This window comes from Homo sapiens, chromosome 12 (genome assembly GCF_000001405.40).
Source record: "Homo sapiens chromosome 12, GRCh38.p14 Primary Assembly".
Lineage (NCBI taxonomy): Eukaryota > Metazoa > Chordata > Mammalia > Primates > Hominidae > Homo > Homo sapiens.
The window spans coordinates 100,929,819-100,953,392 of record NC_000012.12 but is presented as its reverse complement, the minus strand read 5'-3'; the positions used below and the strand labels follow the sequence as shown (position 1 = coordinate 100,953,392).

Below are 23,574 nucleotides of genomic sequence, written 5' to 3'. Positions count from 1 at the left end.
CTTACACTTCATCTTTTTCAAATTTTTCACTTGTAAGGGTTACAAGCTGGAGATTGTAAATGGATTTACAGTTCTCCAGGCTGCTTCAAAGCTTTTAAATCTCTCCATGCCATTAATGAATAATTAGTGTCATATTCATGATATATACTTTGCATAATTTTCAGCAATTTATCATAACATAGCAAAAACAGCAGGAGCAAAAGTATCACAAAGGACTTCAATTCCTTTCATAAATATAATACAATGCCCACATGTGGCACATAATGATGATTATGCAAAACGTGCTTTATATCAGAGAAGTTAAATTTAGACTGCTGAGAAATCTTTTAGATTAAATAAGTTTCTTTTTGTGGGATGACAATAGTTCATAAAATGACTTGAGTTTTTCAGCTGTGCCTTGTATAATGGGTATTTTTTTCCCTTAAAGTTGGTCTGTCTTGACTGAAGTAATATGCGTGAGTTATATGAAATACGTGTTGATTTGGAATAATCCTTTGAATAAATCAAGATAACTTTGTACAGGTCATCTTGACCTGGCAACAGAAATGTTTTGATTAAACTTTGTCTACCTAAATAAGCAAAAGCAGTTGAGGCAATAATGAGGCCCTTAGATCTTTAAACCGGTCTCAGAAATTAGAGTAAGACTAAGGGAGGGAGGGAAAGGAGGGAGAACACCTTCTCTCAAACCATCATCAATTTGATAAAACTGCCCTAACAAGATGAACCAGTAAGAATACAGCCCTGATTCTACAGACTGATATGGGGCAGTGGTAGGTGGACTGAGTCCTGGTGATGAGGTGGGACTTATCGTTATATCTCTTGCCATCTACCAGGTCCCCTCAGCTTTCCCCAGACACACAAGGACTCTCAGCCCAAGAGGTGACAGGATTGAATGCTTGAGCTTCAGGAACAGGATGACCAGTGGTTGAAATCACTCCCTTCTTTATCAGTACCATCAATGCCAACAACAGCCATGCGTTAAAGCTGTCAATATGTCCAGACTCTTTCCTAAGCATATTGTAATTTATTAACTCATTTTATCCTCATAATAGCCCTTGAGATAGGAATTATCTGGCACTTAACAAACAAAGAAACTAAGGCACAGAGAGATTAAAAGCTTTACACAGTTATTCACTTAGTAAGTGGTGAAGTAGTAAGTGGATCTAAATCCCAGCTGTCTGGCTTGAGAGCCAGTCTTCACATACTCTATTCTTCCCCTCAAATACATAGGCCTCTTTTCTGATTCAAGAGTCTGATGTTAAGAGTGCTGAAATAAGTTGGTTGACCATGGATAAAAGAATGGAAGCGCTACCCCCTAGACACTACAACAAACCATATAATATTGGATCAAGGGTCAAACCCAGGGATTCTCAGCTAGGGATGATTCCTCCCTCCCCCCACACCAGGACATGTGACAATGCTTGGAGATATATTTGGTTGTCATTACTTGAAGGAGGTGCTACTGGCATCTAGTGGGTAGAGGCTAGAGATGCTGCCAAATATCCTGTAAAGCACAGAATAGCCCTCTACAACAAAGAATTATCCAGCCCTAAATGCCAATAGGGTCTATGTTGAAAAACCCTGGAGATGAATTGACTGTTGTTACCCAGACTCAGCTGTGAAAATCAGCTATCCACAATCTTTTGTAGCAAACTCAGGATTCCACAAGCTAAGCACTGTAATAAGTCTTTGGAATGCAAAAACCAGTAAGACAAAGTCTCTCTCTCAAAAAAGAAGAGACATATGTCCATGTGTTCTCATCGTTCAGCTCCCATTTATAAGTAAAAACATGCAGTATTTGGTTTTCTGTTCCTGCATTAGTTTGCTAAGGATAATGGCCTCCAGCTCCATCCATGTCCCTACAAAGAACATGATCTTGTTCTTTTTAATAGCTGCATAGTATTCTATGATGTGTAAGTACTATGTTTTCTTTATCCAATCTGCCATTGATGAGCATTTAGGTGGATTACATGTCTTTGCTATTGTGAACAGTGCTGCAGCGAACATACATGTGTATGTGTCTATATGGTAGAATGACTTATATTCCTTTGGGTATATACACAGTAATGGGATTGCTGGGTTGAATGGTAGTTCTGTTTTTAGCTCTTTGAAGAATCTCCACACTGCTTTCCACAGTGATTGAACTGACACTCCCACCAGCAGTGTCTAAACATTCCCTTTTCTCCACAACTTTGCCAACATCTGTTATTTTTTGACTTTTTAGTATTAATAATAGCCATTCTGACTGGTGTGAGATGGTATCTCATTGTGGTTTTAATTTACATTTCTCTAATGATTAGTGATATTGAGCTTTTAATATGCTTGTTGGCCACATGTATGTCCTCCCTCAAAGTGATTACACTAGCAACATGGAATCTTTACCTTTGAGAAATAGCATCCTAAAATTAGAAGAACAACTTGACAAATTAAAACAGAAGAAATTCCAATGTGTACTTGTTCTCTCTTCACTTGGTCAAGGACCCCCATGAATTTCATGTTTGCTGGCATCTCAAAAAGTGCTGTCTGAATACCACAGATTTGGCAGCATCTCTACTACTAATTCAATACCAGTGGTAATGTATGCTGCTGGTACCCAGAATGATCCTCAGCCAAACGGACAGTGCCTACCTCTCACCACCTTCACAGACCTCAGCCAATGACTGACTGACGTGGGGGCCCGTGTCTGAAAAGTAGACCAGCTCTGTGCTGCACCTGCTGATTACCGAGTTCCCCTGTGGGATCAGGCTGAAGGTAGTGTCCAGCTGAGGCCATGCTTTTGGCTTAGCTGTTCTCTTCTGCTCCTCTCATGCCCCTTTCTCCTGAGATTGCCCCACCCATCAACAACTTGAGGAAGAATTCTCACCTCAAGTTCTGCTTATGCTTTGGAAATCCAGCCTAAGACTCAAGTTAACAGAAAAGCCACCACAAGTGTGGACTGACATTGGTAGCTCCTGAAAGACACTCAAGGAATCGCCAGGGCTCTGAGGTTCAGAAGAAAATCTGCTTTCTTCCTTCTTTGGTTATGACTGTCCTAAATTCTCCTTTCTTGTCACCTTAACTTGAGACCCTTGGTAATACAAGTGTGTGACATATAAGAAGATTGAGTGGAGTAAAGTGGAGATTATTGGGTGGAGAAAAGTCTGATTTTCTTTTTCTTTTTTTTTCTTTTCTGACCAGAAAGCCCTAGAGGACAGAAATCTGGGTAGTGCACATAGTCCTGACACTCATTTATTTGAGACACTCATCATCATGTTTTCAACTGTGAAGGAAGGGAGGATGTTGTCGTTCTTGTATCCTCGGAGTTCTGGATGCTGAGAGAGCATCTACAGCAACAAGCTGGATGTGGCTGCAGTATATAAATGGGGATGAAATTAGGGTAATTTGGGCAGGAAGTCTACAAGGGAACAGAGCCATCTGCATGAGATTAGCTCTTTAAGTGGGGAAATCTTTGTGAAGATTTCCTTTGAATGGGGGTAAAGAAACACTGGGATGGACAATCAAATACAGTTTTTGTTGTTGTTGTTACTATTGTTGTTTAGCTCTGAATTGATCTATAACTTTATACCCAGATGAATCTAAAACCAAATCCTCTCCAAGCAGATAAACATCTGAACCTTGATCATGCTAAACTTGTTACCAAATGTATTCCGAGTTCTTCCAAGAGCATTAAATTATAAATCTCATTAATGCATACACAGTAACAATATATGACCCACTGATGTTGCTATTCCTAATGGTTGCGTTATAAAGAATTTGTAAACTGGATGAAAATTTTTCTTAAAGTTTACCTTGAAAACTATTCCAAAATAAAAGTGTTAACACGTTGTATTTAGCCGTTATGATAACAGTAATGATGATAATAATGAAGTTTACTAAATGCTTACCATATAAAAGGCACAGAGATAAGCACTCGATATAAATGATCTCACTTAATTAAAATAACCCATGAGATAAATCCCATTATTAGCCTCATTTTGCAGATAAGTTAACTTTTACAAGGGCACACAGCTTGTAATGGTAGAACCAAATGAACACTCAGAATGTGTGATCCCAGACTTTTAATCACTGTATTAATTATCTATTGTTGCATAATAAATTACTATAGGCTTGGAGGCTTACAACTACACATATTAATTATCTCACAGTTTCTAGAGGGTGGAAGTCAGGCACAGCTGAGCTGGGTTCTCTGCTTTAGGGTCTCACCAGGCTATGATGTAGGTCTTGCCTGGGGCTGTAGTCTCATCAGTGGCTCAACTGAAGAAAGACCTGCTTCCAGGATTCTCAGTTATTGGCAGAATTCATCTCCTTGTGGTTGTAGGACTAAGATCCCTGCTTGTTGCTGGACGTCAGCTGGATGCCAGCTCCTAGAGGCCACCCCACCTTTCTTTGCTAGGTGGCCCTCTTCATAGGCTGTCTCACAATATGGTAGCTTACTTCTTCAAAGCCAGCAAGGAGGGTCTCTCTGACGCCAGTCTGCTGAGATGAGATCTTATACACCATATAAGATAATCACAGGAGTGACATCCCATTAAATTTGTCATATTCTATGATAGCAAAAGCCATATTCTATTGGTTAAATATAAGCCACAGGTCCCACCTGAACTCAGGGGGAAGGGAAGGTGTGAAAAGGAAGCAGGCATCACAGACTTTAGAGTCTGTCCACCACAAGGACTAGCTAAGTAACACAGAATGCTATCATTCGCGGGCCACCTTCACAATTTTTGTCAAATTTGTAATACCATCTACAATATCTTAATTTTGTATATTTCTTTAAATAACTCCCTTTTTTAAATAATCATTTTACAAAAAGCTTTTATATCAGTCATAAAGGGAAAACAAATATCACTTGCCATAAATAGAAGGTAGCTGAACAACTTACACTGGAAGTAAAACAATAATATGAAATTTAAAAGTAAAAATTAGGAAAAACAAAGATTGGCACTATATATAGGTCCACTTAATCTTCATCATTTACGATAAATTATATCACCTTCAGGATTAACAATGGAAACAGAGATCCATAAAAATCTGATAAATTGCCCATGACCACTCAGCTTGTAAGTGGTTATGTACCAAGATTCAAGTCTATGGCTACTAGAGGCATAAGAACCACAGTCTGGGCAGCACCCAACTTCATTATTCATCCCAATTTTCCTTGTTCCTTTACCTTTTCCTTTTCATAACACTACTTGTCTTCTCAGCCTGTCTCCTAACTTTTTTTTTTTTTTTTTTTTTTTTTTTTGAGACGAAGTCTTGCTCTGTCACCCAGGCTGCAGTGCAGTGGCATGATCTCAGCTCAGCCTCCCGAGTAGCTGGGACTACAGGCGTCCGCCACCACAGCCGGCTAATTTTTTTTGTTGTTGTTGTATTTTTAGTAAAGACAGGGTTTCACCATGTTAGCCAGGATGGTCTCAATCTCCTGACCTCGTGATCCGCCCGCCTTGGCCTCCCAAAGTGCTGGGATTATAGGCATGAGCCACCATGCCCTGCCTCTCCTAACTTCTTTAACCCTGAAATTCACCTTTAGATACCAGAAATCAACACAATATAAGGGCAAAGAGCAAGTATGCTTAGGTTTTAATAATGGCTTTATCTCTTACTACTTATGTTGTCTGGGGCAAGTTACCAATGGTCTCATCTGTTAAATGGAAATTATAATAGTAAGTGATTAATAAATGTGAGCATAAAAATTTTGATAATGTAATTTGTATCATATTACACAGAAGTATCCAAGATATTCAACCTCGACTGTGCACCCACATGTGCTCATGCATGTGTGTGTGTGTTTACTGCAGTTGGATTTTTCACTCCTTCTGAGAGATGAGTGCAAACAGAAACAAACTACTTCCACAAATTGTATTGTTTGTGCATTTCAGTTTTTAAAGCGTACTACATTTTATCTCTTTTGGAAGCAATGTATTTGAGTGGGACTGAGAAGGTATGGGGTCTTAGAAGCAAAGTGAAGGGTTGGCCTTACCAATGAGTATGGACAGGACACCCTTAGCACTGGGGAAGGGTGGCATTTGTGGGCACAGAGGCAGATAGGTGAGTCCATGCAATGGGAGATACTTGTGGTCATTCTTTTCTTATTGCTTCAAGGACATTTCTCTAAAAATTCTTCCTCCACTCTTTCCCAACATCAATTTTCCATCTCAAATATATAGTTTGTATTAGCATAAAAACATGTATTTATTTCTCCCATCTAAAATAGAAAGAACTCTTTATTGACCAAACTTCATACTCCAGTTATCATTCTATTTCTCTCCATTCCTTTACAGTGAAACATATTGAAAGAACTGTTTGTATTCGTTGTCTCTGTATTTTCTCTTCCCATTCTTTCTTGAAGACACTTTAATGAAGCTTTCACCCCTGACTTCTCCACTGAAACTTCTCTTGCCCAGACCACCCAAACCTGCCATATTGCTAAATCCAATAATTAACTTTCAGCTTTGATCGTACACACCCCATCAGCAGCATTTGACACAGTTGATTCCTCCATCTCTCCTGAACCACACACTCTAGATTTTCCTTCTAGCTCCTTGGTGACTCCTTCTTAGTCTCTTCTGCTGCCTCCTTTTTATCATCCAAATTGTAACACTAGTGTTCCCCATGGCTCAATCCTTGGACCTCTTCTCATTTTTATTTGCAGTTACTCCTTTGGAGATCTCATTCAAATGTGTATCTCTAGTCCAGATCTCTCCTTGAATCCCAGACTCTTCTATCTTACCCAACATCTCCATTGGGATATCTCAATCTTAACAAGTCTACAATTTGACCTACTCTTTTCCGCATCCCTGTAAGTGGCAACTGTCTTCTCCCAACTGCTTAGATAAATACCATGTGTCAGACAAATAGTCTGTGACTCTTCTTTTTTACACTGCCCATTCAATCTGTCTGCAATTCCCATCAGTGCTACTTTCTACTCTTCTCATCTTCCTCTCTTCTATGTGCTTGACCAAGCTACCATCATCTCTTTCCTGGATTCTTGCAACGAATCTCCTAATTATTCTCCCTGCTTCTGCCCTTGCCACCTCCACCCCTCACAGTCTAATCTTACCAGGCAACCCGAATGCCCTTATTAAAACAGAAAACAGATCTTATATTTCTGCTCAAATCTCTCCAGTGGCTTCCTATGTCACTCAGAGAAAAGCTAACATCCCCCAGTGATCACTAAGGCTTCCACTGCCTTGTTGGTGTAATTTCTCACTATTCTTCACCTTGCTCAGTGAACTCCAGTCATACTGGCATCCTCACTGTTCCATGAACACACCAGGCATGCTCCATCCTGTGGAGCTGTTCTCTTTGCACTTGCTATTCTCTTTCTGTGGAAAAGAGGCCCACTCTTGCTGACTTTTATAAAATTGCAAGCCCCTCTCAACACTTCCTGCTTTACTTTTTTCTCTTTAGCACTTACTGATATTTGTATATGTTGTACATATTTTTTGTTTAAGTTCCAACAAAGCAGGGATTTTTTTTTCTGTTTTATTTGTTGCTGCTGAGATCCTAGTCCTTAAAGCAATGCCTGGCATAGAGTGAGTGTGCAATAAATATTTTTTGAATGAAATAACCATCATCAAGATGATATGATTTACCTAATTATATTAGTTTTGTAAGGACTGTAATGATAAAGGTCTTCCCCAATGTTTCACATGATTCTGAAGCGGGAGGGTGCTCCATTAGTACAACTGTTACTCACACATTCCAAATAATTCAAAGTTAACTCATCCTCTTACTAGTTATACAAAAGAAAAGATAAATGTCTTATTGAGGACAATGATTTCAAAATAGGTATCCAAAGATCAATAATGGACATAGAATTAAAAATGAAAAAATCAGAAATAGAAAATGTTAATTAGTAAATATGAGCTTACCTTTAAGAAGGGAATCACTTTAAGTGGATAGATACTAAGAAGTAAATCACCTGGACTTCAATGATATTTTGTTTGGGAACTTTGTTGTGAATTGCTTTCTCTGGGCTATTATGAAAGTTGAATTGCAGAATATTAAAGACCCAGGGTACCAAAGCAAGCACTTATGTGTTGACTAATCAGCCTGGAGCAAAGGTTTTAAGAAAGATTAAACTTGACTATGTCCTCACTTTTATCATGAATTAAAGATTATCCTAGTTGTGTTTCTTGAAATTCAATGTTAAAGAGATAAGGATGTTAAACTGAACTAGAAAGCCTGTCTTTGTCTATTTGGAAACATAAGCATCTGTCTGTGAAACATGTTTTTCATAATTGTTAGACATCATGACAACAGCTAATTAAGAAGATACTAATAATTCATAAAATGTGCATAGTGTCAAACGTTTCAGATATACAAGGGTCCCTAGGGTGTTTCTTCTTTTCCACCCTGAACTAAGTTCTTCATTTTATGTCCTATAAAAGGTTGAATTAACTCCTGGAAGCTGAAATCGCCATTAAAATTGTCTTTCTGCTGTAGCTGCTTATAAAAAACTTGATTTAAATAAAAATACTTCCAACGGTTTCTAAATTTAATAATACAATGTAGATACTTCATATAAAAATTCTGCCACTTATTATGAGAATAAAGGATGAAGGTTTGTTTACTGTTCAGCCAAGGGATATTTTCTTTTAATTATTTATGGCAGGGAAAAATTAATTTATCTATAAGAGAACCTGCAAAGGCCCTTTTCTTGCTGAGCTGACTGAGTCCACGAAGATGCAAAGCAGAGCTGGGAGGCTGCATTAGAGAGAAATTGCACCATTTATGCAAAGTCAGGGCAAGACTCGAGCCAGGCAGCGGGAGAGGTCACTTGTGAAGAAGGTTCCAGAAAGGGGAAGACCTAACTGTTTGTAGTGTCTAAAAGATTGTGGAGGAAAGGAGAAATATGGAAGGTGATGCCCAGAGAAGAACTTTTGGGGGAAAGTGGGGAGGGGGGAAATGCTTAGATAAGTTTTTATGATGTTTTGCCATATAGTGATAATTCCCTTTTTCCAATTGCTATTTTTTCCAGTACACATTAAAATAAATACCTGTTAAAATTTTTTTTTTAAATTCCAACAAACAAAACTATCTTGTATATAGACAAAATCGTACAAGCAGTCCATTCTTCACAGCATGCTCCACACTGTACTGTGCAGCACAACTGTACAACAGGCAGCATGATCCTCCTCAAATTCTGGTAGCTAAACACTGCAGTACAGGTGATGCTTTAGGATACACAACAGGACACTTTCCATCACTTTAATGTGCGCTATTTGGAAAAGCATTAGGCTTTTTAAGTTCTAACGAATAAATCACGAAATAACATTGAAAAGATCTATACAGAAGAAGCCCTAGGCCTGTAGAGAATACTTATGAAGCTTAAAATATAAATCTTGCATTAATTGAACAAAGCTATCTAGTTTTGATGGGAATCAGAATTTTGACAGAGTCAGAATGGGTCAGAGGGAGGACTTCCATTATTTTAGATTAAGTAGCAATTCAGATCTTTTATTTCTTCATATAAAAATTCTGCCACTTAGGAATGAGAATAAAAGAAGAAGGCATGATTAAGGAGAAAAATATGAATGTGCTATTAATGTTAAGAAAAAAATGCAATTGTCTGAGACAATTTAGAACTTAAAGAGTAAGATTTATCAACTATACACTCAGTTTGTATAGGAAAGATTTTCTGGAACTCCACAAAGGTGGAAGAAACAACATTTTTAATTCTGTTTGTTGTACCAGGGAACCTCTAATTAAGATGGTCTTTGAGAAAGCTGGTTCTTCTTTCCTGAGAATAAGAACCTGTTTCCTTACAGCCACATTCATCTCACCATTTTTCCAATTCTCTTGGAGACATTCCAGAAAAATGCTGCTTCCGTGTTATAAACATTCAAGAGCTGAGGTCAGCCTAACAGATCTGAAAAAAATCCCATTTATCTGAAGTGTCCCAAGATCAGATAACAAGTATATGCATATTATGCTTCTAATATTTGATACCTTGGCACAACTCGCAGGTTGTACGAACTGCAACTGTATCATACAAAGAAAAACCTGGATGTCTGACTTCAAAGATCTATCCCCTCAGCCTTGAGGAACAGAATCAGAAGTATCTTAAATTACCAATGTGTTGTTCTTATTGACTATGAAAAGCTCCAGAAGCTTTGCACAATGTTTAGGGAGAAGCCGAGAAGAGTTACATAATTCAGTTAACGGGCCAAGTTCTACAAATGTGCACAGTATTCCTGAGAACACCATAAGCCCATCATGGATTACTATCAGAGGCCTGGCTGGCCTCTTGTACATTCCTTACTTAGTTCTGCCTTGAAGCTCCCCATGCAGAGAAGGAAGGAAGGGGAAGAACCAAACACTGGTAAGGCACTCTTGAGCTTGGGGACCTGAAAAAAATAGCCTGAATGTCTCTTAAAACTGGAATCTTTTTTGTAAGTTCCAGCTGCTTTTGGCCAAATTGGCCAGGCAGTCTCCTCTGGTGTACGAGGATGCCCAAGCTCATGATATTTCCTGAAATGTAAAAAGAGCCTCTAGAGAGAGTGACTGGATTTCACTCAAAGTTTTCTTTAATCCACGCGAACAGAACCCTCCATTTACATATACAGAGAAATGGCAGACGTAGGAAGTTAGATAAGGAATCACACTTTGAAACAATCCATTTAATTGGAATAGAATATTTTGATTTTCATGGAATCATTTGGCATTAAAATTATCTCAAAAGCAAACTGTGCTGTCAAAGTCTAAATATTGGAACATTCCCCAAACTCTGAAGACTGGAAAACTCTGACCAAATGAAATGTTTGGTTAACATTAAGACTGCTTGCTTATTTCTTATTGCCTCTTCATATGAATAGATATGTATATATTTTTTTCTCATCCAAGCAAACTATTTACCTCTTTCTCCATTTGCAATCCTTCTGCTCTAATGTTTCTTTCAAATACTTCTCTCTTTTCAGTCTGGGGGTTGGATTTTCTGTACACAAGGATGTAGTCAATTCGACACTTTCCATCTCGAAAGTAAAGTCCATTTGATTTGTTTCTTTCTGGCACTGTCTGCACACAAAGAGAAAGGGACCAGTTTAAGTCATTCATCAAATTGAGGTTCAAGTGAGTAATGTTAAAGAACAATTAAAACTAAATAACTTTTTTCAGTTCGGGTGCGGTGGCTCATGCCTGTAATCCCAGCACTTTGGGAGGCCGAGGCGGGTGGATCACGAGGTCAGGAGTTCGAGACCAGCCTGGCCAATATGGTGAAACCTTGTCTCTATTAAAAATACAAAAATTAGCTGGGCATGGTGGCGTGTGCCTGTAGTTCCAGCTACTCTGGAGGCTGAGGCAGGGGAATTGCTTGAACCTGGGAGGTGGAGGTTGCAGTGAGCCCAGATCGCGCCACTGCACTTCAGCCTGGGCAACAGAGTGAGACTCCATCTCAAAATAATAATAATAATAATAATAATAATAATAATAATAATTTTTTTCATTGTGTTCAATTACATATTCATTAGTGAAAAATGTAATCAAGAGGAAACAAAATAAAAATTGGAAGAAGCATTGAGTTAAGTGCGCAAAATGTAAAACATCTAAAAATACCGTGTGTAGCCAAGAATGTGATGCAACTAAGGATTTTCATATCCTGCAGGTGAGATGAGAGTGAAAATTGATATGCTCACTCTGGAAAACACATTAACATTATCTTGCAAAACTGAATATGTGCATAACATGTAAGCCTAGAGAAAAAATTCTTGATAAGGCAAGTAGGAGACATGTATATGAATATTCATGGCAACATTACTTATAATAGTAGAAAAATGTTTAAAGTTGGAGTCAACTCAAATGTCCATGAACAGACAATAAATAGATAAATAAATTATAGACAGTTCATTCACTGGAATATTATACAGCAGTGAAAATGCATAAACTATAGTTGCATCTAACAATAAAAATGAATCTTAAAGACAACACTGATAAAAAAAGCAAGTCTCAGAAGACTTCATACCACATGATACCATTTTTTACAAAGCATAAAATAAAGTAAATCTAAATATAAGTTGTTAAGACTACGAATCTATGTGGTAAAACTGTCTTTAGAGCAAGAGAATAAAACACAATAAAATTTAGAAAGATGATACCTCTGGTAGGGTAGAGGTATGGGATTGAAAGTAGCTTCCGTGGTTTTAGGAATATTCTAGTTCAGTGTTTCTCTTTTTTTTTTTTACCCACAACAAGAAAAACATTTTACCTTTGTGTGCATATATGTAAACATACATATACAAAATATGAGACAAGTTTCACAAAACAATTGTTTACCCTTTCTGTTTTCATACACTCCAATATTAATTTTCCATTCCATTAAAAAAAAACTGGAGTTAGTAATCTACAATTAGTTTGTCACTATAATTTGAAAAATAGCATTCTGGTTCATAAATCAGATGGTGGTTCCAGGTGTTCATTTTATTATCATACTTTGTAACTTACATAGAAGTTACAAATATTATTTTGCAGTAATATTAAAAAGTAAAGAACAAAAGGAGTGGATTGAATTTTCATCCAGGCTCTTCGGGCTTGCTGTACAACATTGAAAGAGACCATCAAGTATGGGCTCACTGGGCTGGAGCCAAATTTCTCAGCCTAATAGATTTCAAAATTGTGTCTATAAACCCAGCCAAGTGGATGGGTGGATTCTATCTTTTCCAATGGTGGTATGAAGAAGGTAAACATGCCAGACCTGAAGGGCCATTGCTAGAAACCACATTCTTGCACAAACCTTAATCGAAAAAAACATCTCAGCTGGGGAAATGGAATGACCATGTACCATGTCTTGATGTAGACATTTTCAATTGATGACCAATCCTCACTATGTTTTGGATTTTACATTAAGAGACACTCAGGAGTCTACCTGAATAAGCACTTTAGTTAACACTTATTTGCCAAGCAAGAAGGCTGTCCTGTGAATTCAGCATATTAGCATCTGCCTTCAAAAATGGCTTCAGCCAAGACATTAGGAGGGGTATTGGCTCCAAGCAGAACAATGAGCTGTGCCACCTTTGGCAAAGCCCTAATATTTCTGATACTGTTTCCTCATCTGTAAGTTACAGGGATGAGACAAGTTGCTGTCTGAGGTCCCTTTCAAAGTCCATTCTTTACGCCACATTATGGTTTCCAAAGTATCTGTGTAAACAGATAATAACAGAATGAGTGTTTTTTTTTAATGAAACAAACAGAAAAAAAAAAAACAGAAAAAGAAACTTGGATAGCTGCATATGGTGTTTGTGGGGTGAAGTCTGCAAAGCTTGGCAAGAGTAAACAATTTTCTCTGTTCCAGGTGTCATCCTTTTAGCAGTTAACTAGCTCTGGAATATAAAAACCTTAGGAATATGCAATAAATAAATTACTCTGATTCGGTGTGCCTATTACCTGTACCCAGTACATGTACAAAGGAAATATTAAACTCTATTGAGACACAACCTGAACAAAGGGGAATGCCTCCAAAAAAAATACTAATTTTTCCAAAATGGCACACAAATAGATAGGTCTATTTACAGTTGCAATGAAGTTTCCAGATTACAGAGGCAAATGGAAACTCAGAGAGACTTCAGACAACACAATCAACTGAAGGCTGGTGCATTTTAGGTCACTATTCTACCCACTGGGGGATCTATACAAGGAAGCCCATCCCTGTAAAGTTTATTTTGTACCAGTGGGAGACACTCAAGAATGTAGGCTATCTTAAAATGACGGACAGTTTAAAAAAATGATAGGTTTAAGAAAAACTGAAACTTTGTTTTGTGTATAGGTAGATTTAGGATCCTTGAAATATGCTTAGACATGGGGGATGTCAAAGGAATATAAAACCTGTCCCTTGTTTTACAAGAGCCTACAGTTCAATGAGATTATGACTTTAAACAGTCCATTGGAACATGCTTCACAGGTTCCTGCCTGGATCACGAATTACATTTGTAAGAAATCATATACTCTTACCTCTCCCCCGGCTTCCAATCTGCTGGCATCATCTGAAGTACTAGTCAGGTTTCCAGGGTGAAGAAGAGAATCGTCATCTTTGCAAGGACTGCTGACAGCTTCTAATTCATCAAAAAGAATATTGACATCCTTGGCCACTAGAACCAAAGTAAATACATTATAAGGTGGGTAAAAATCTGGGATCTTGAAAGCAATGCTAAAAGAGAAAACATCTCCCTTTGGGTTCATATTTTCTCATCATTTCATTAACTCCTTGAGTGACAAGCATATTATTTCCTAAAAGAAAAGTATGTCAGACATAAAACATGTTTGACCAAACAGTGTATTCATTAGGCAAGATTAAGGAAAATAAAAAGCAAAGTACATCCGTAATGTAAATATAATTTGTCTTCCATGATAGCAGGAGGTGTTATATTTGTTTCGCTTTCCTTCACATAGTTGTTTGGCATAAGGTACTTTGATTTAAGACTTCTAGGTTGGAAAAGGGTTGGAGATGACCTATACTTTTAAATTAAATTTAATTTTTTCATTTAAGTGTCGTATAGCTTGCCAAGTGAACCCATAAACGTGCCACTTGAACTATTCAGTAAGAACTGTGATTTTTTTCCTCCTTTGTTACTTCTCTAAGACAGAACAGAGAAAACCTAATGCAACAATAAAGCATGCACTTAGATTTTTGGCCTTTTTTCTTCCTCTTATCCTGAATTGAAATAATGAAGTGAGCCATTCAGAAGCTCTCTCAAAAGACTGTTGACGTTAATAACATGTCAATATATAAAGTGCTGTATATCACGGTTCTAGGTACAGGCTACCACGTTCAAATGCAGAGTGCCTTACAGCACGCCAGAAATTTAAGTTCATCACCAGCAGAGGAAAGATATGGGTTGAGTCCCTTCTGTTTTATCCACTTCAATTATGGGCCAGCATTGCAGTTCACTTTTTCTTTTGATGCTTTAAAAATGGCTGAGGGTTTATAACCTGTCAGAAGCCACTGCACAAAATAATTCATGAGGGATTGGGTTCTTCTTACCCAAGCACGTAATACAGTATTCATTCTTTCATTCAAAAACATTTTAGAGATGTGCACATTGTGTGTCAGGCATAGAGCTGTGTGATGATTGCACCTTGGTGAATAAAAGTGACCTGGCTTCCTGCCCTTGTGGCAATAACTGAAGAAAACAAAGACACGTAACTTGTGGTGAATTCTCTAATGAAAAGAGCAGAGTTTGGATATAGAGAGAATAGAGATGATCTACGTAGATGAGATGACCAGGTATAAAGCTATATCCAAGCATGTGATTTTAGGCAACACTTTTAGCTTTCCAAGTTTTTCATCTGTAAAATATAATGGGCATAGGAATAAAGTTAACATTTATTGCTAACTACGAGAGGGTGAATTATGACCCCCCCAAAGGTGATCTGATTCCTAGAACGTGTTAATATCTTACCTTTTTATCACCGAAAGGATTTTATAGATGTGTGAAACAAAGGATCTTAAAATGGGGACATTGTCTTAGAGTATATAGGTAGGCCTGATGTAATTACAAGGGTCTTAAGAAGAGGGAGGCAAGAAGGCCAGAATCAGAGAGAAAGATTGGAAGATGCTATGCTGCTGGCTTTGAGGATACAGGATGCGGCCACGAGCCAAGAAACGCGGGTGGCTTTTAGAAGACAGAAAAGACAAAAAAGCAGATTCTCCCCTGGAGCCTCCAGAGAGGAGAGTCTTGATTTTGGGACTTCTGACCTCCAGAAGTATAAGATAATAAACATATTGTTTGAGGCCACTAAGCTTGTAGTCATTTGCTATAGCACCAAAAGGAAACTAAAACAATATATTATAGGATTTTAGACCTATAAGGCTACAAAGAAAAAAAACCATGGTCTTTTCATACAGCCAAGGGTTGTAGCACCTACATTGTGCCAGGTACTGTGCTAGGTGCTTATGGAGAGGAACTAACACTTTTTGAGGAAGACTAATATGTCCAGTGTTTTGGGAGCTGTCAAGATCAAAGACAACTTCCCTGACCACTGGATGTAAAAAGATCTCCCTCCCATAATTGTTGTCCTCTCATTGTTCATTTCATTTCCAGCACTTAACACAATCCTTAATTATCTTATTTGTTCATTTATTTATTAGACTTGTTTATTGGATGTTTACCTTATTACAATGTAAGTTCCATAGGGCAAGGACCTTGTCTGTCTTGACTGATGTACAGAGGCTCTGGCACAGGTAAGCCTTCAACACATATTTGTTAAATGACAGAATGATGACCTGAAGATGGTCACAATGTAACGATATCTGAGAGCCCTTTTCCTCTAACATTCTATGGTTCTGGGACTTGGCATATGGTTTTCCTAACATGATTCTTATTCACAAGCCAGGATTCCATGGTTTCAAGTAATGTGATTAAATTTTCAAGCAGACAGTGATTAAATTAAATTTCAAGTCGATGTTGATGATATTTGAACAATAAGATAAAAGTATCGTTTAACCAAGTCAGAGGACCTGCTCGCTATTCTGAACTCTGCCACTTAGCTGTGTAAATATGTGCTTCTGTTTCCTCACTGGTGAGACAGGAATAGCAAACTTCTCTCTCAGGGTGGCGAAGAGGATTACATCAATGTGCATATTAGCAGGGTGACTGACACATGGCAGACCCACAACAAATGCTGATTTGTCGATTCTAGCTAGACTCTGGGAGCTTAAAGTGAGTATTTTGGTCTTATCAATATGAGAAGGCAGAAGAGATATTTACAAGTTGGAATGGTTGTTATGAGAAATGGTTTAGGACGGGGTGTGAGATAAAGGGGGAACAAGGACACTGAGGTTCATGTCTAGGTGACTGGCTCATACTAAGGAGAAACTCTTGATATATGTATGTATCCCCTTAGGCTTTTCCCAAGGATAGAAAATATCAGGTCATCTTCTATCAATATTACTTTCTGGCACTGGCACAATCAGTTCAACAATGCCCTCTATGTCCGTGGTTCTCAACTGGGACCAGTTTTGTCTCCCAGACCATATTTGACATTGTTTGGAGATATATTTATTGTCATTACTGGGGAGAGGGGGACAGTGAAAGTGGTATTCAGTGAGTAGAGGCCAGGGATGCCGCTATACATCCTACAATGCACAGGACAGCCCCTACCACAGAGTGATCCAGCCTAGAATATTAATTGGTGCTGAAGTTGAGAATTCCTACTCTTCATGAAAAGCCCAAGGGATTTGATTCTAGAAGGAGCAGCTAACTTGGGAAAGGAAGAGAGCTCTTTCTTTCCCATCAGAATCACTGTCTGGAAGTCATGGGGCTACTGCCACTTGAGCTCAGGGAAATCAGTCAGTCATGGCAATCTGTTAGACAATAGGTGATACTAAGCCAACCTTATCACTTGCCAGCCTCTCAGTATCTTCAGCAGAGATTAGAAAGTCTGCTGTGAGAGAATGTCCAGCTGAACCCGTGGTCAGTAAGAAGACTGTAGACCATATAAACACTCCACAGGCATAAAAAGTATGTGCACTTCATCCATATTTCATCACTGTTTCTGATATTATCAGCTATAACTACAAGGTAAGTTTTAGAAACAAAATAAAATCTTTGATTCAAACTTACATTGATTCTCTAAGAAGAAAAAAGCAACTCTCAACTTCCAACACTAACCAATTTTTAAAATAAATTTTAATCAATAAGTATATTCAGTGCCTACCACGGGCAGACACTGAGCTGAGCTAGGAACCGGGGCTGAAGTACTGGAGAGCCCAGGCATGGCCCTGCTCTCAGAGCTCACTGTCCAGTCAGAGTGGGAGTGAGGCCTTTCTATCCATGGGCACGAACATCACAAAGATGCTGTTCATCCAAACAGGGTCATTTGTGAATGAATCCCATCACCTTCCTTAGACTTCTTCTCCTAAATAGAAAAATGTTTGATAATTATCTGCCTGGTAGAATATTGCTGTTAGGTTCATTAAATGAGAAAGAGAGTCAAATACTCTGAGAAGTCCATTAAGAATGACAGGAAGGATGGGAGGCAAGGCTGGTTCAACATATGCAAAACAATAAACTTAATCCATCACATAAACAGAATCAACGACAAAAAACACATGATTATCTCAATAAATGCAGAAAAGGCCTTCAACAAAATTCAACAGCCCTTCATGCTAAAAACTCTCAATAAATTAGGTATTGATGGAATGTATCTCAAAATAATAAGAGCTATTTATGACAAACCCACAGCCAATATCATACTGAATGGGCAAAAACTGGAAGCATTTCCTTTGAAAACCAGCACAAGACAAGGATGCCCTCTCTCACCACTCCTATTCAACATTGTATTGGAAGTTCTGGCCAGGGCAATCAGGCAGGAGAAAGAAATAAAGGATATTCAATTAGGAAATGAGGAAGTCACATTGTCCCTGTTTGCAGATGACATGACTGTATATTTAGAAAACCCCATCATCTCAGCCCAAAATCTCCTTAAGCTGATAAGCAACTTCAGCAAAGCCTCAGGATACAAAATCAATGTGCAAAAATCACAAGCATTCCTATACACCATTAACAGACAAACAGAGAGCCAAATCGTGACTGAACTCCCATTCACAATTGCTACAAAGAGAATAAAATACCTAGGAATACAACTTACAAGGGATGTGAAGGACCTCTTCAAGGAGAACTACAAACCACTGCTCAATGAAGTAAAAGAGGACACAAACAAATGGAAGAATATTCCATGCTCATGGATAGGAAGAGTCAATATCATGAAAATGGCCATACTGCCCAAGGTAATTTATAGATTTAATGCAATCCCCATCAAGCTGCCAATGACTTTCTTCACAGAATTGGAAAAAACTACTTTAAAGTTCATATGGAACCAAAAAAGAGCCCACATTGCCAAGACAATCCTAAGCAAAAAAAAACAAAACTGAAGGCATCATGCTACCTGACTTCAAACTATACTACAAGTACCAAAACAGCATGGTACTGGTACCAAAACCAAAATATAGACCAATGGAACGGAACAGAGTCCTCAGAAATAACACCACACATCTACAACCATCTGATCTTTGACAAACCTGACAAAAACAAGAAACGCAGAAAGGATTCCCTATTTAATAAATGGTGCTGGGAAAACTGGCTAGTCATATGTAGAAAGCTGAAACTGGATCCCTTCCTTACACCTTATACAAAAATTAATTCAAGATGGATTAAAGATTGAAATGTTAGACCTAAAACCATAAAAACCCTAGAAGAAAACCTAGGCAATACTATTCAGGACAAAGGCATGGGCAAGGACTTCATGATTAAAACACCAAAAGCAATGGCAACAAAAACCAAAATAGACAAATGGGATGTAATTAAACTAAAGAGGTTCTGCACGGCAAAAGAAACTACCATCAGAGTGAACAGGAAATCTACAGAATGGGAGAAAAATTTTGCAATCTACCCATCTGACAAAGGGCTAATAACCAGAATCTAGAAAGAATTCAAACAAATTTACAAGAAAAAAACAACCCCATCAAAAAGTGGGCAAAGGATATGAACAGACACTTCTCAAAAGAAGACATCTAGGCAGCCAACAGACACATGAAAAAATGCTCATCATCACTGGTCATCAGAGAAATGCAAATCAAAACCACAATGAGATACCATCTCACGCCAGTTAGAATGGCAGGAAACAACAGATGCTGGAGAGGATGTGGAGAAATAGGAATGCTTTTACATTGTTGGTGGGAGTGTAAATTAGTTCAACCATTGTGGAAGACAGTGTGGCAATTCCTTAAGGATCTAGAATTAGAAATACCATTCCAGCAATCCCATTACTGGGTATACACCTAAAGGATTATAAATCATGCTACTATAAAGACACATGCTCATGTATGTTTATTGTGGCACTATTTGCAATAGCAAAAACTTGGAACCAACCCAAATGTCCATCAATGATAGACTGGATTAAGAAAATGTGGCACATATACACCACGGAATACTATGCAGCCATAAAAAAGGATGAGTTCACGTCCTTTGCAGGGACATGGATGAAGCTGGAAACCATCATTCTTGGCAAACTATCACAAGGACAGAAAGCCAAACACCGCATGCTCTCACTCATAGGTGGGAACTGAACAATGATATCACCTGGACACAGGACGGGGAACATCACACACCGGGGCCTGTTGTGGGATGGGGGGCTCGGGGAGGGATATCATTAGGAGAAATACCTAATGTAAATGATGAGTTGATGGGTGCAACAAACCAACATGGCACATGTATACCTATGTATCAAACCTGCACGTTGTACACATGTACCCTAGAACTTAAAATATAATTTTAAAAAAATGCAAAAAAAAAAAGAATGACAAGAAGGAGAGAAAATGCAAAACTACCATGCAACTCAAGTAATAGATCTGCATTTCATTCAGACCCAGGAAGGGCTGTGTGAACAGAATTAGGCAGCACAGATTGGTCAGGGTAGGTGTATACCATGCATTTGGGAAGGCAAGGGGGATACTCAAATGATTCCCTATTGCAAAGATTAGAAGCTCAGCCTAAAAAATGACTTGGGAACAAAACAGCAAGGACTCACATATTATAACTGAACAACGAGGATCAAGGACCTTAAATTGCCTGGGAGACGAAAAATCAGCTAAAGAGTCTGAGTAAAGCATTAAACTCAGAGATTTATGACAGCTGGCTTGGTTTACATCATCCCAGGATGGAGGCAGAGCAGAAAAGTCAGGAGAGGACCAGCAGGCAGGCAGATCATGGTGATCTTTACATGATGAAAAGGTGAATTTACTTTGGTAATACTAAATCTACTAATCAAATCAACTATTTGCAATTATTTCAATTATTCCTCCAGTGAAAATCATTTGAGATGTTAGCTATTGTTAATACCCTATGGATAAGAGATCACAAATATATTTCAAGGACTCAAATAAATGGACGAACTAATTAATGAATTATTTTCTGCCATTTGTTCATTGAACAAAGATTTAGAGTTAAGTGCTGGACATGACATGAGTGGGAAGCCCTCACACTTCCAGGCAAGAGAACAAAGTTTGGGAATCAATGCTATAAAGGCAATGAAAAAAAAAAACCAGCAAGTGTATTTTAGAAATAGCCTAGAAGACAGTAAGAAATACAATCAAAAAAATCAAAGACTTTGATTCATTGCTCTTTTCTTTACTTCTCTATTTTCCAAATGCAGCAAAATAACCCCACCTTGATATTACAGTATAGAAGTTTCAGATATATAAATTTCAGATGCAGAGAAAAGAAGGTGAAATTACAGGTCATTGAAGAAGACAGAAGAGGGCTTTGCAGCATAATCCAAGTATCTATATTCATTCTCTAGAGCGCCAGTTCATTATACTATTTTTGTCCTAAGTTCCAAGTTATTGCATCTGATACTCAGAATTCTCAAGGGATTACATACTGACCTCAAAGTATCACTTAAAAAAAAAAAAAAAGAACACCTCCGGGAATATTTTAGAATGCAAAAAATGTTTATATCTCAATTTTAACACTTACCAGATTGTTTTATAATAAGTCCATCTCTATGTCTTTAGACTAAGGTCCCTTTAAGGTGAAGAGCTAAGGTAGCTCCAATTCGGCTTAAGGGCTACCAAGTAGGAGACACTCAATATGCATTTTAAGATAAATAAAAGCTAATTGTAGGATGACATCAATTTTCAGTTTTTTCTTATTCTGATTACCTTAGTAAGATGGCTTGAAAATGTCTACTTCTCTCTTAGAATCACAGAGATTAAACATGAAGGAAGTGGGAAAGGAGACAAAGATAGGAATTACAGTTTACTGACAGCCTGCTGTGTGTTAATGATTTTCAGGTCTATTTTCTCATTTCATTCTCAAAACAACCTATGAGACAAGTATTATTATAAAGAAGCCAGGTTCAGAAATGCTAAGTGTGGCCATGCAGCTAGTAAGTGACAAAGATGAATTTTCATTCAATTCAGACCCCAAATCCATACCATTTCTAGCTGGCTTTTGTTTTTGTGGGAAGCATTTTACTGTTCTTAAATCATGTTTGGCTTTCAAGAATGGAAGTCATTTAACCACCAAGCAATTATCTTGTTGCCATTTCAACATTTATCTGAATAAAGCTAGACTTTACATCTGTAGTCTGACAGCTCTGACAACTTTCTAAAATTTAACAAATAGATCCATTATTGTCTTAAAAATTCACGGAAATACAAAGACACAATACAGCTTTGAACACCTTAGGCTGGGATTTTAAGAACTAAACACTATTTAGCATGTATATGACACGAGCAAGCCCAAGACTCTCTAGATGCTCATTATTCTTCAAATGTATCTTGACAGCATCCCTAAGGCAAAGGCTGCCTGGTTTACCAATAAGAAAAAAGGAGGTTTAAGTTTAAAAACTCAAAATAAATAAATAAAGCAATTAGAAAGGACATAATGCTTCCTTAGCCGATTTTACTCCCTTCTAATAGGCCAGCAGTTTTCAATCTCTGTTCTCTGGAACCCTACAGCCCTTTTGAGGAGTTTCAGGGGCCATGGAGCAGACAAAGAGACAACTGAGCGGGCAAGGCTCACCTTCTACCCCTACCTATACCAAACAACTCAGTTTCTGTTTTGTATATTGAAGTTATATGTTGATCATATATTGGGGAAAAATACATTTTACTGCTTTTACAAAAGTTTAGAAACTTCTGCTAGTGTGTTCTGGCAACAATTAAATGGTTGTGTTGACATCTCCCTAAAGAACCTGCGGTTCTAGTTATTACAGATATGACAGCAGGAACCTTCCTTCTGCCACAGAAAGTTATTGAGATTTAAAATATGCCTTTGCAAACAAACAAAAAGTCATGAGATTTAAAAAAAATATTCATTTAAAACTAATTTCTGTATGGAACTGGCATAAAAACAGACACATAGATTAGTGGAACAGAACAGAGAACCCAAAAACAAATCCATACATCTATAGTAAATTCATTTTTGACAATGGTGCCAAGAACATACATTGGAGAAAGGACAGTCTCTTCAATAAGTGATGCTGGGAAAACTGGATATCCATACACAGAAGAATGAAACTAGACCCCTATCTCTCACCATATACAAAAATCAAACCAAAATGGATTAAAGACTTAAATCTAAGGCCTCACACTAAGAAACTTCTAAAAGGAAACATTAGAGAAACTCTCCAGAACATTGGACTGGGCAAAGATTTCTTGAGTAATACCTCACAAGCACAGGCAACCAAAGCAAAAATGGACAAATGGGATCACATCAAGTTAAAAAGCTTCTGCGCAGCAAAGGAAACAATCAACAAAGTGAAGAGACAACCCACAGAATGGGAGAAAATATTTGCAAACTATCCATCTGAGAAGGGATTAATAACCAAAATATATATGGAGCTCAAACAACTCTAGAGGAAAAACATCTAATAATCCAAATAAAAATGGGCAAGATGTCTGAATAAGACATTTCTCAGAAGGAGACACAGAAATGGCAAACAGGCACATGAAAAGGTGCTCAACACCACTGATCATCAGAGAAATGCAAATAAAAACTACAATGAGAAATCTCATTGTAAAATGTTCAGATTTCATAATGAGATATAATTTCATTGTAAAATAAAGTTGGAAATCAGGGC

At 37.8% G+C, this 23,574-nt stretch overlaps 1 protein-coding gene across 15 annotated transcripts in view; it reads right to left on the bottom strand.

The window, feature by feature from the left end:
- ANO4 (anoctamin 4) overlaps nt 1-23,574 on the bottom strand; it is a 411,381-nt gene that overhangs the window by 175,249 nt on the left and 212,558 nt on the right. For all 15 annotated transcript variants that reach the window (XM_011537912.3, XM_011537911.3, XM_047428302.1 and 12 more), the window contains 2 exons: nt 13,942-14,078; nt 10,858-11,016 (listed from right to left, as the gene is read on the bottom strand). In XM_011537912.3, the coding sequence (XP_011536214.2) occupies nt 10,858-11,016; nt 13,942-14,078 (296 nt within the window). The remainder of the gene's footprint in view (nt 1-10,857; nt 11,017-13,941; nt 14,079-23,574) is intronic.